The sequence below is a fragment of the Homo sapiens genome, chromosome 10 (assembly GCF_000001405.40).
Source record: "Homo sapiens chromosome 10, GRCh38.p14 Primary Assembly".
Taxonomy (NCBI): Eukaryota; Metazoa; Chordata; class Mammalia; order Primates; family Hominidae; genus Homo; species Homo sapiens.
Window position 1 is genome coordinate 90,871,812 of NC_000010.11, and position 13,177 is coordinate 90,884,988.

Here is a 13,177-nt window from a genome sequence, read left to right on the forward strand (position 1 = left end):
TTCAACACACAAATTCTGGTGGTAGATGAAAGCAAAGCAAGTAAGTTTCTCCGAATCCCTAGTCAACTGGAGGTAGAGACGGACTGCGCAGGTTAACTACAGCTCCCAGCATGCCTGAGGGGCGGGCTCAGCGGCTGCGCAGACTGGCGCGCGCGGACGGTCATGGGACTTCAGCATGGCGGTGTTTGCAGATTTGGACCTGCGAGCGGGTTCTGACCTGAAGGCTCTGCGCGGACTTGTGGAGACAGCCGCTCACCGTGAGTTGCCCCGGCTTCGCGCCTGGCCAACCTCATGCCACCCAGACCATCGGGCCACACTCCGGAGTAACTATTTCCTGATGGGTCTCGGTCAGGTCTCCCAGAGTCTCTGGGATGTCCCTGGAGGCTGATGCCCGCCGAGGTGTTGGTCTGATTCCTAGCGCGGGAAACTCGAAGGTTCTGGGGGTTGTTATCTGGTTCAGCTACTTTCCTGCAATGAGGGAACTGAGGCCTAACGAGGGCGAGGGATTTGCATAGGGGCCTACAGCTGATAGGTGACAGAAGCCGGAGCTGGACTCCAAGGGTACAATCTTCTAAGCTTCTAAGTTACTATCAGCCCTTCCTGATTCTCACGACAGTGTCTAAACAAATACTGGAATTTGGGGCACGGACAGGAAGCGCCGTGGAGGCTCGGAGAAGGAGGAGGACGTGGGAGTGTTGGAACAATACTATCTAGACAGAGAGAGGGTAGGTGGGGGCAGAGGACATACACAGCGGAGTGGAGGTGGAGGAGGAGGATAGCATGGCCCAAATCGAAGGGAAGCGAAAGCCTTGAGAGACGAGAACCTGTTTTAACTATTGGAGTTAGTCATGGGTTCTGTATTCCGTAGACTGTAAAGTGTTGGAATAGAGAGATTAAAAAGAATCAAGAGGTTCGTGTAGTAACATCTGCTCCTCAGAGACAGTTTTCAGCTCATTGTGAGTTCTGATTACTGATACTGTTCAGAGGTGGTGCTAGAAATGACAACCACTTCTTGGCAAAGTGAATCACACCACTTTTTTATTGTTCTCTTTATGAAGTATCCGTGGCGAAATGACTGTCCCTTTCCACTGCTGCCACTAAATGAACGTTATCTCTGTGGTACTTTGCTCATCAGCACGAAGACGAAAGTAGACATGATGATCTGGGCCATTTGGCGCTAATGTTCTTTGATCCTGTAAAATAAGTTTTCCTAGGTGTAGTTTGTCGCAATTATTACCTCCTCAATGAGGCTTTTCCTGACGCCATCCCATTTTTGAATAAATCATGAGCTTCCTAAGAGAATTGCCATGTCTTATCCTTTTATTTACTGTGCTTAACACGTTCACTCTGCAGGCACCAGTACATGGCAGTTACTCAGTTAATGCTTGTGGAATAAACTGAACACATTAAAAAAATTAATACAAAAAAGAAAAGTTAATAATGATTTCTTTAGAGAATTTCCCCCAGTTTAAAATACACTTGGAAGAGGTGTGGTAATATATGTACATTGTTAGTGGTTATTTGTTTGTAAATTAAATGGAATTCATGGCATATAAAGTTGCCTCAACTTACAAGTCAAAGACAAAGGACTGCTCTGCTATTTGATGAGTCTGGAACTAAATAGTGGACATTTGCAAAGAATAGGAAAGACAGAGCCCTGGTTCTCAGTTTCTGATGTGATACAAGAAACCAATAATAAGCTTCAGAAATATACTGTGTAAATTAAAATACCCTAAAGCCTGATTGGGGAAGTAAGTACTCCTAAGCTGCCAGATGAGGAGTAGTCTAGGAAAAAGTTTTGTGGAGAAACAGATCCTAGTTGACATTTCTGTAGAACGGTAGGGACATTGTTTAGTAGCCAAAAGGATATCCTAAATGGGTATAACAAGGAAGTTTAGAGCAGATTTGGGAGTGTGGTAAAGAAGAATAGGGAGGAGGTGTGGCTGGTTGATTTGACTAACTGGGTGCAAGGTGAAGCCCAAGGTACAGGCATACTTGTGATTTTTTTTTTGTTTTTAAGGGTAACTTTCTTCAGGGAGCCTTTTGTGACCCCTACACCAGGTTTCACTGTGCTATGTACTTCCATAGAATCCTTACTTATAAAAAACATGTATTTATATACAATGACTTGCTTAATTGCCTTATTTGCCTTCGTTCTCCAACAGACTAGGCTGTAAATTTCTTGTGGAGAAGGATTATATTATTTATCCTGTATGCTCAACACCAGTTTAGGGCTTGTCAAGTAATGGATGCTCAGTAAATATTTGAGGGAGGAAGGGAAGAAGGAAGTTGGACAAACTGTTGAGAGTTTGGCATTGATATGTATTTTAATGTTAATATCCTTTCATCCCCATTGGTATTTTTAAAAATTAAAGATGGGAGTCATGATTTAGATTTTTTTTTGGTAGCCCAAATGTCCAGAACAGTGCTAACTGATGAGGATAATAAAGCAAGCCCTTGACCTCAAGGAGCTCCCAGTCTGTCGATGGTGTGCAGCTTAAAATGGGAAGCGGGCAGTGGTGTGAGGGAGTTATCACTCCATTTCTCCTTAGGAAAGGAGTCTCTGAAGGAAGTAGAAGGATAAAAAGCAAAAGAAATGAACGGGAATAAAAGTGACAGTGATAAAGTAGGAACTTGATGGGATAAAAATGAATATAGGGTCATGAAAGAGAATGACATTTGAAAAGGAGAAGCACAAAGTTAAGAGTCTTTAGTATCATTTTAATAATAATTCATAATGGTTAAACAAAGACCTGTGTGCCAGGCACTGTTCTCAAACACCTCATGTGTATTATTTCATTTAAATTTCATGACAGTGTATGAAGAAAGTGTTGTTATTTTCACCATTTGACAGATGAGGAACCTGAAACTTCATGTTAAGTAACTTGTAAGTGGTAGTGCATAGACTTTAAATCAGGCAGACTGACACTAGAGTTCACATTCATAACCACTCCTCAAATGTCCTCCTACTCTTGACATCTAGACTCAGGATGGACCTGTGTTACAGGAAGGAGAGGTTGTTATATTTAACAAAAGTGTTCAATTTTTCTTTTTCAGTTGGCTATTCAGTTGTTGCTATCAATCATATCGTTGACTTTAAGGAAAAGAAACAGGTAAAATAATATTTCTAAAGTTAATAAGTTCATAAATAAGTATTTGTAATTCTGTTTGTATTGGTAATTTGGAAGCTACAGATTAGAATATTTCTTAAATGCACCCCTTTGTGCACTACTACTTTTCTATTTTATATAGAAACAGTCGAGCTGATGCATATTTATACAATGATGATTTTTGTGAGGTAATATGACATAGTGTTCAGGATTCTTAAAGGTGATTTGAAATTAAGTTACTTTTCACTGTTCAAAAAGTGCATTGTTATTGGCTGGACTGTAATCAAAATATTTAGTCCTTTTTATTCTATTGTCATGGGCTTATTAACTACTTTCTCTCTTAAACATTACTAATAAGTATGTATATTTCTCTTTAGGCCAACAACTGTATCCTGTAGATTATTTCAGTCTAAAAATTAGTTTTCATTCTTCCTATTCACTGATGTTTACAGTTGCTTCTCTATTTAGCTTTCTTTTTAAAAATAATTTTTAAAAGTTTTTTTGAATACCAGAAATCACCTTGCTTTCTTTTTAAAAAAAATGCATATTTTTTCTGAGAACACCTCGTAATTTTTCCATTATGCCTTGTGCTATTAATGGATACAATCTGCAGTAACTATTTATCGTTTGTTGTAGGAAATTGAAAAACCAGTAGCTGTTTCTGAACTCTTCACAACTTTGCCAATTGTACAGGTAGGTGTTTTGTTGTTTACGAAGCATAATATCTATTTATTCAGTTAAAAGGTACCTAATTATTGTGCTATTCTCTAGCTTGAGCTGCACCTTACTCTGAGTACCAGTCTTAACGTTTTCCTCAAGGCTCAGCTCTTCAGGAAACATTCTTTTACTATCAATTCAGCATTGCTTTGATGATCTTCTTTCCTGAAGTCCTACAATTTTTAAATTATCTCGTTATGTAGTTTAAGATATATACATCTCTTTCTGTGGCTGTATTGTAAATTCCTAGAGAACAAGGACTGGGTTTTATTGATCTTCACTATCCCTTATAGCCAGTACCTTTTAATGAATACTTTCCACTGGTAAAAAGGAAAATCAATTATTGTCTTTTGTGCTTTTTTGACATCATGTCTTTTTTAAATAGGGAAAATCAAGACCAATTAAAATTTTAACTAGATTAACAATTATTGTCTCGGATCCATCTCACTGCAATGTTTTGGTAAGTTAATTATTTTTCTTCTCTCCTTTTGGCTTTGTGAGTTGTATTGATTAATGTTGAACAATGTTGCATTTTGTCTTCCCCATTTTACATTTTCCCTCGCCCCCGCCAAACCATGACACCTGCTTGCTCTCCTTGTCCTCAGAATTCACACAGTGTAATATGTCTGTTCCACTTACTCATGGCACATGTGTAGTGATACCACAATTAAAGAATCCCTTGGCAACTGTTACTCATTGAACTCACGTGCACCAGACTTAAGGTGGGTGCTGGGGGGTATTGCCATGAATAATAGCACAATCCTTGAACTTATAAAGCTTAAAGTTTAATTGGCAAGGCAAGCACTGAACAAATAATAATTACAAATGTAAGGAATGTTCCAAGGTAGGGAAGTGGTAAATAAAGGATGCTCTGGGAGTATGTAACCTGAGTAAGTTGATATTCAAGCTGGGAGACAGAAGAGTCAGTAAATGTTAAATAGGTGACAAGCAGGGAGCTAATGTTCCCAGATAGGATGGATTATGCATAGGTCCTGAAGCTAAGGAAAACGTGGTATTTTCTGGGAAGTGAAACAAAACAATAGGGCTAAGCCTAGTGAGCCGGTTACATGGCATAAGGTTAAAGATATAAATTTGGGTGAGGATTCCAAGAGCAGTTGGAAGCCCTTGAAGGTTTTAACTAAGGGAGTGAAATGAGGTTTGAATTACAGAGAATGGATTAGAGGGAGTTAAGGAGGGTACTTAAGAGGCATCCAGGAGGGAGAATTGATGGGATTTATTGGTTAATTGGGTGTAGGATGATTACTCCCTAGGTGGCCTGAGCAGCCAGGTAGGTAATGGTGTACCATTTCCTGAGACGGACCATACAAACCAGCAGGTTTGGGGGCATCCTGATGAGTTACTGTGAGAGTTTCAAAAGAGCCCGTCAAAAAAGATGTGCACAGTGGCTCATGCCTGTAATCCCAACATTTTGGGAGGCCTAGGCAGGCAGATCACTTGAGGTCAGGAGTTCAAGACCAGCCTGGTGAAAGTGGTGAAACCCCATCTCTACTAAAAACCCAAAAATTAGCAGGCCGTGCTGGCGGGTACCTGTAATCCCAGCTACTCAAGAGTCTGAGGCAGGAGAATCACTTGAGCCAGAGAGGCAGAGGTTGCAGTGAGATCACACCAGTGTACTCTAGCCTGCGCAACAGAGCCAGACTTCATTTCAAAAAAAAAAAGATGTGGCCTTCAGAAGAGTGATCCCAATTAAAGATGGTGCTTTGGAAGTGGTCACCTGCATGAGTAATTGAAATCACGGGAATGGATGAGACTCCCTGGCCAAAGTGCATTGTGGGAAGAAGAGGTTTAGTACAGAGTCCTAAGGAACTTCACTATTTAATGGTATGAAAGAGGATGAGCTAGGATTGGAGACTGAGAAGGGACTACCCTAGAAGTAGAAGGACAGCAAGCAAAGGGAAAACAGAAAAGGAGGAATGAAAGGTCAGCAGGGTCAGTATACCTGTGTGGTCAAGCAGACAGGCAAAAAAAAAAAAAGTCTGTCAGATTTATTGATGTGACAGTCCTTGGCTGCCTTAGCAAAAACCATTTCAATTGATATAATAGGGATGTGGAAAAATGCAGACTGTGCTGCTGACTTTGCTTAAGAAATTTGACTCCATAGGAGAATGGGAGGCGTAGGGTGGTTAGTGGATAAGAATCTGCTGCATAAAGAGATTTTGTTTCTTAAATGAGAGAGGTTTGGGTATGCCTACTATCAGGGGAGAGAGAAAGTGAGATTCCCTGAGAAGGTGAACTGTTTCATCTTTAGCTGGGATGGACATCTCCATCATATAATAGAAGTAATTAAGGAAAGACTCCCTTTATAACAGTTACTATTGCTAAAGAAATTGTGAAAAGCCAACTTTTGGTGTCTTACACACCTGCAAGGCAGCATTCTGGTTCCTTAGGCCCAGGTAGACATAAATGGAGCTGACTTTTGATAGGTTGTAAAGACTTTCATTTACTCTTGTTACCATGAACATCTTGGTGGTTCCTTTTTGTCTCCTTCACAAGTGGGAGTGGGCAGGTAAAGGAGAGCAAATCCCAGATCCTGGCTATTTCTAAGACCTGGACCCTGCCCTGCCTCAGCACAAGTCTGCCTAGCAGGCCCTCTTACCTGCTCAAGCACAGCACCTGCTGCTTCTCTTATACCCTCCTAACTTTTATTATACTTTTTCTTTTTACAAAATAAGAGATTGCAAAATTTTAGAAGATGCCAACAAGCAGAGAAGAAATACCACACTTTATTCCATAATTCAGAGATTGTATGTTTGTGTATAAATGTATTTTTTTCTAGTCTTTTCATATACAGACTCACACAATTTAGGTTTAAGATGATATTTTCTTTCTTCTTCTTCATTTTTTTTTTTTGAGATGAGGTCTCACTTTGTTGTCCAGGCTTGAGTGCAGTGGCATGAACGCGGCTCACTGCAGCCTCAACCTATGGGACTCAAGAGACCCTTCTGCTTCAGGCCCCTCAAGTGTCTGGGACATATGTGTGTACCACCACACCCAGCTAATTTTTAAATTTTTTTGCAGTGATGGAGTCTCACAATGTTTCCCAGGCTAGTCTCAAACTCCTGGGCTCAGGCAGTCCTCCCACGTCGGCCTCCCAAAGTGCTGGGTTTACAGGCATAAGCCATCATACCTAGCCTAATTTGATTTTTACATCTCAGACACAATGTTTGGTACATGGTTAAAGTATAACAAATGTAGGAAGGAAGGAGAATGATTGGTGAGATGGATATTTGTATCTAAATTCTCATGTGCTTATGTCTTTTCTGCCAACATACAAAGCAAAGCAGAAATGTCAGTATATTAGAAGTGTTCCATGATTGAAATATAAGTGTGAGTCAATCACTAGACAGAATTTCATGTGTATGGATTTTGTTATTGTATGATAACATTCTTTTTGTATTCCTAGAGAGCAACTTCTTCAAGGGCCCGGCTCTATGATGTTGTTGCAGTTTTTCCAAAGACAGAAAAGCTTTTTCATGTGAGTAACAGATAAGTAAAAGAAAGTAGTGTATATATGTTATATAAGAAGTCTGATGTTCTGACTTTGTAGATGACCTGTTTTGACTCATCTGGAAACTTTTAGGATTTGTTATTTATACTTGGAGTTTCTAGAACCCCATAAGGGTATATATAACTGGTATTTGTGGTTTTTTTGTTTTGTTTTGTTTTTTTCATGCTGCTAACCTTTGATAGGCTCAGTTTGAAAGAGCCCGTTTTCTTCTGTTTCTTTATCTCTGCTTCATTCATTCAAAACTTCTCTTAGCTAAGTGTTGATCCATCTCTTTCTAGCTCTAAAATCACTTCAGTTTCTGCCCTTCTTACCATTTGCTGCTCCTTGGGAGGGAAAGGAGCAAGGTTCTATTGTAGCATAAAAGTTTCTACCTCTGTTTCGGCTTCCTCCTTTGCATGCTCTGTGGTATAGCCCATATGCCAGCATGATTGTCTCAGCTTTTAGTCTTTCAGAAATTCTTCAAAATCAGCCATTTGCTAGTATAATCCCTCTTCTTATCTTGAGAGCCTTTATGAATTGAATTTCTTTTGTACTTGTAAAATTGCCATTTCATTGCCTTTGCAGAAGGGAAAGGAGCTTAACGTGTATGCTTGTTTGTCACCTTGAGACAGAACACCCTGGGCATTTTAAATGATTACAGTAAGGAAAAAACAACTGTAATGCATTTTACTGTGTAAAATGAGGTATAGCTACTTTTAGAAAGTTCAAAAGTTACCTTTATCTAGGTTCACTAAAGTGTCCATCCGCCAAAAGTATAAAATGAGGTATAGCTACTTTTAGAAACTTCTGAAAGTTGCCTTTTTCTAGGTTCATTAAAATGTCCATCTGCCAAAAATATAACCACCAAAGGTACTACTCTTTGATTTTTTTTTTAAAGACTAGTCAAGTGTCCTATTAAGAAAAGGGGAAAGAGTAGAACAAGGAATTCAACCTGTAACTGATTGTGAATAGTCAATTAAGATAACTGACTGTGAACAGTCAATTAAGATAACTGACTACCTTCAGAGCAGCCTGGTCTTTGAGGTTTTAATGTTACATCAGTTTTTTTTTTTTTTAAGCAAAATTCATTCTAAAATTGCAGAAAGATGTTTTTCCTAGATGTATCCAGTAGATGGAGCTGTTGACTAAGGATGCTAACGTGTGCGATAAACATTAATAGTTTTCAAGACATACTGTCAATTCTTAATTATTTATATTAACAGAGAAACAGCACAAATTATTTATGAGTGCCTACTCTTTTTGTTGTTGTTGTTACTTCCTTTAAAAAATGCAATTGTAGGCCGGGCACAGTGGCTTATGCCTGTAATCCTAGCACTTTGGGAGGCCGAGGCAGGTGGATCACTTGAGGTCAGGAGTTCAAGACCAGCCTGGCCAATATGGTGAAACCCCATCCCTACTAAAAATACAAAAATTATCCAGGCATGGTGGCACGCTCGCAGCTACTCGGGAGGCTGAGGCACGAGAATTGCTTGAACCCAGGAGGCAGAGGTTACAGTGAGCTGAGACTGTGCCACTGCACTCCAGCCTGGGCAACAGAGTAAGACTGTGTCTCAAAAAAATTTTTTTTAAATGCAATTATAGATATTCTCAAGAATTTTGTTTTAGTTAAAGGGGTAAGTAGAAGCAAGTGATTTTTAGTCATAAAAGACACCTGTAGAACTTTTTAAAATCAGGCACATTCAGCCCTCACCACTGGAGACTTTGTTCCAGTAGATTTGGGGTTGATTCTGGGTATCTGTTTTTTCATGTTCTGTAAGAAAGTATAATTCAGTGCCAAAACCACTAGTGTTTAATATAAGGAAGACCATGGGCATTTCCAAGTTTGTTACAAAACCAACAGCAACTTAGTTTGCTTATTAAATAATAGCAACTCAGTTGTGATTTAGAATAAAAGTTGCAGATGTACCAAGTATTTTGTTGTACATTTGATTTCTGGATTAATTTTGAAGATCATGCAACTTACATTTCCATATCCCTTTACTGATGATTAGAGAAACAAAAGAAGGTATACATTTGTAAAACCTTTCAAAAACGTTTACATATTTATTTCCTTTAACTTTTACGACAATCCCGTAGGATAATTGGGACAGATATTTATTACTATCCTCATTCTATAATGGAGAAAACTGAGATTCAGGCTGAGTGATTTGCTCTAAATCTCCCAGCAAGTTTGTTCTAAAGATAGGACTTTGGGTTTTAGACTATGTTGTAATTTCATATAATAGTTTTACTTGTTTATCTTACTGTTTTTCTCAGACTTAAAGTTTGAATTTGGTGAACACATGCTTGATGATAGTAGATGGGCCTGTCAAAAATACTTTGGAAGATGGAAGAAAGCACAAAGTATTGACTTTACACATATACTCAAAAAGTTAAATGAGAACGCAGTTTTAAAAATGGGAACATCTTCCTCTTCTCTATCCAAATATTACCCATTCCTTAAGATTAAATTGAAATTAGAGTTCTCCTTGTTTTCTATAGGAAATCAATTTTAAAAGACATCTTTCTTTTAAAGCTTTTATAGGTATATCATGGTTTGGAATCAGGTCAAATGCAAGCAGTTTGTGTCTTAAGTTACATTCTACAAGTGATTTTATTTATTTTGTTTGTAAGTTGATTATCTAGAATTCTAACAGGTATCTATCTCTGTAGGTATGGTATTCTAAAACTAAGTTAGGTCTCCAAGATGAGTCATCAAGCATACACACACAGACAGACACATGTTTATGTCAATAGTAGTATAAAATCGAACCATCTTAAATAGCATCATTTCCATGGGACATAATATACCATTATATTTTCTACTCAGAGTATCCGGAAGATGTCTCATAGAAACTCCCTCTCCATAGCTACTTAAGGAGATAAGGCAGAGATTAAAGATTTTGAGGGGGTCCATTGGTTAGGGCTCCTTGGGATGGGGGACAGCTGTGGAATATGACACAGAGAGAGAGTTGCATAGAAGCTTCTGGAGCTTCTGGACCAATTAATTATTCCCATTTAGGATTTAAAGCAGCTGAGCAGGTTGAGGAGAATTCAGGTTATTTAGTCCAGTGGTCTCTAACCTGCTTTGATTGTGCACCCTATCAGTTTAAAAAATTTTTGAGCCTGCTTCCAAATATATATATGTTTCTTATAAATTATTCGCATCTCTCATTATACCAGTGTGCCTTATAAAAACTACATACACACAAAACAGATCTTAAGATAGTGAATTAAAAATTAAATGGGCCAGGCATGGTGGCTCACGCCTGTAATCCTAGCACTTTGGGAGGCCGAGGCAGGCAGATCACGAGAGGCCATCCTGGCTAACACGGTGAAACCCCGACTCCACTAAAAATTCAAAAAATTAGCCAGGCATGGTGGCGGGCACCTGTAGTCCCAGCTACTCAGGAGGCTGAGGCAGGAGAATGGTGTGAACCCGGGAGACGGAGCTTGCAGTGAGCCAAGATTGCACCACAGCACTGCAACCTGGATGACAGAGCAAGACTCCGTCTCAAAGAAAAAAGTAAATGGAGGCTGGATCCAGTGCCTTGTGCCTGTAATTCCAGGACTTTGGGAGGCCGAGGCAGGATGACCACTTGAGGCCAGGAGTTCAAGACCAGCCTGGGCAACATAGTGAGACCCTGTCTCTATTTTTAAAAAATAAAAGTAAATGGAAATAAAAGTTTTATTTTCTTCCTGCTCCTGAAATTCATGCCTTTCCTTTGCAGAGGACTGTTGTAGTGTCTTGAGGAAGGGAGTGTCCTGGTGTTACTTGCAGTATGGTCTGGCTCCACTGGCTTTAGAATTACCTGGGATATTTATTAAAATGCAGATCATTAGGCCATACTTAATGAATCAATGGAGGTAGGGCCTGGTTGTCTCCATTTTTGATACATTCTTTAGGGGAGTTTTGTACACATTAAAGTTGAGTGCCACTGTTGATGGGCATCTCTCTTTTTCCTTGGTAAGCCTGATTGTCTCTTCACAATTTATCAAACTGATACCTTTGAAAGGGATTCAGGGAGGAATATGAACCCCTACAGTCCTATTCCTTTTGTGCCATAGAGGCAAAGATGTGTATATATGTGTGCATTTTTATGGGAATACGTTTTCTTTAAATTGTCATAGGAGTCTCTGGCCAAAAAAAAAAAAAAAAATTGGTATGGACAACTGATGTGAATTATTATGTAACCTACTAGTTTTCAGAGAAAACCATTATAAGATTCTTAACCCCAAGGCTCTATTGGGCATAATTTAATCTTCTAAAATGATATAGAAAGCGTTTCATTGTAGTGTGAACATTAACTTTTATTTTGTGGTTATCTAAAAGTATTGATTGAACATTTTGGTTAATAGAAAACTAAATAACAAAATAATTCAGTTTGGGGCATTCTAAGGTTGAAGTGTCAGAGGGAGCCATGTGGAGCTGTCCCTTGTAACTAAAAGTTTATTATAATGCATGTATTTGCACGTACTTAAACCAACATAGAGCCATTGTTTAATTGGCCACTCTTATGTAGGAAAAGGGAAGAAAGGAACAATGTGTAAGTAAAAAGTAACCTAATTTAGCTTTATTCTGGGGAGAATGTTTAACAGGCTTTTAAAGAATTAATCACCTTTTTAAACTGAAGAAATAATTTACATTCACAATGATTAATTTAAACAGTACAAAGGTACTGAAAAGTATGCCTTACTTCCACCTAAAATTCCTTCCCCATTTTTTCCAGAAGCAACCACTAGTAATAGTTTTTGTGTATCTTTTTAGAAATATTATTTACCTCGTCTTTTTTTCCTTTGTTCTCCCCTTTCTCCCTTCCTCTTTCCTTCCTACCTAACACCATGCTTCTTTTACCTTACAGTTTCTTAGAGGTTGTTCCATAATATCCATTAGAGATGTACATCATTTCCTTTAATGAGTTGGCATATTCCATCATATAAAGGGATCATAATTGAAGTAAAATTGAGGGATGTTTAATTGTGTCTAGTCTTTCATGATTGGTATTGCAATGACTGTCATTGTACTAATGTCCCCTGAGCCTTTGTAGGGTATATAGCTACGTAATATATTTTTAGAGTCTCTGCACTTATAGAGACTTCTCTATAGGAGACTCCACTTATACCTACTACATACCTATAAGTAGAATTGTTGGTGTGTGCATTTAAAATTTTGGTAGCCATTGCTAAAATGCTTTTCAAGACCTTATACTGATTTAAAGACCTTTTGAGTGCCTGTTCATTCATTCTCATGTCAGCAAGGTAGTACCAAACTTTTTTATCTTTGCCAGTATGATCGATAAAAAATGGTGAACAGAGCTGAATTTGTTTCAGCTATCATTCAGAGCTTTTCTTCATCCACTCTTATTAAATTTTCAGTGACTCTTTTATGAGTTGGACAGCTGTGGCAGTTGGGATGGGGCAGATTCTTTATGAGCCAAGTATTTCTGCCAAAACAACATTGCTTCCCAGGCTTACTAAGTTACTATGACTGTCTTAAAGCTAGCCAGCCTCTGATCTCTACTTCCTAAAGCCCTGGGGTTGGAGTAGGAGTGACTGAAGTGGGGATTCTGAAGAAAAAGGGCAAGATACGGTATTCCTGTCATTGCCGAAGGTTGGCACCAATCCTATAGGTCATTTTCTCCACTCTTCCTTACTCTGCCCTTTCCCCTGGTACATGCCACTGATGTTGTTTGTCAGCGTAGCCATCCTGGAAGTTTGAATTTGTCTGTCAAGCCTGTACACACTAGCATTGTCAGTAAGCTTTGTTTTTAATGTAATACATAACAGCCAAATATTTTTATCACTATAAATCAAATAATGGCAAAATCAGAGCCAGGTATGT

General features: G+C 38.8%; 1 protein-coding gene across 2 annotated transcripts in view, besides 3 other annotated features; it reads left to right on the forward strand.

The window, feature by feature from the left end:
• Nucleotides 1-295: an enhancer, noted in NCBI's record as "tiled region #7939; HepG2 Activating DNase unmatched - State 1:Tss, and K562 Activating DNase unmatched - State 1:Tss". NCBI's record gives its function as "activates a minimal TATA promoter and a strong SV40 promoter by Sharpr-MPRA in HepG2 and K562 cells {active_cell/tissue: HepG2 | K562}" and the evidence as "EXISTENCE:reporter gene assay evidence [ECO:0000049][PMID:27701403]".
• Nucleotides 14-283: an enhancer, noted in NCBI's record as "active region_3756". NCBI's record gives its function as "activates an Ori minimal core promoter by ATAC-STARR-seq in GM12878 lymphoblastoid cells {active_cell/tissue: GM12878}" and the evidence as "EXISTENCE:reporter gene assay evidence [ECO:0000049][PMID:35858748]".
• The window catches only part of RPP30 (ribonuclease P/MRP subunit p30), a 36,583-nt gene continuing 23,568 nt past the window's right edge, over nt 163-13,177 (forward strand). For both annotated transcript variants that reach the window (NM_001104546.2, NM_006413.5), the window contains exons 1-5: nt 163-257; nt 3,058-3,113; nt 3,747-3,803; nt 4,213-4,287; nt 7,252-7,323. In NM_001104546.2, the coding sequence (NP_001098016.1) occupies nt 176-257; nt 3,058-3,113; nt 3,747-3,803; nt 4,213-4,287; nt 7,252-7,323 (342 nt within the window). In that variant the 5' untranslated portion in view covers nt 163-175. The remainder of the gene's footprint in view (nt 258-3,057; nt 3,114-3,746; nt 3,804-4,212; nt 4,288-7,251; nt 7,324-13,177) is intronic.
• Nucleotides 414-473: an enhancer, noted in NCBI's record as "active region_3757". NCBI's record gives its function as "activates an Ori minimal core promoter by ATAC-STARR-seq in GM12878 lymphoblastoid cells {active_cell/tissue: GM12878}" and the evidence as "EXISTENCE:reporter gene assay evidence [ECO:0000049][PMID:35858748]".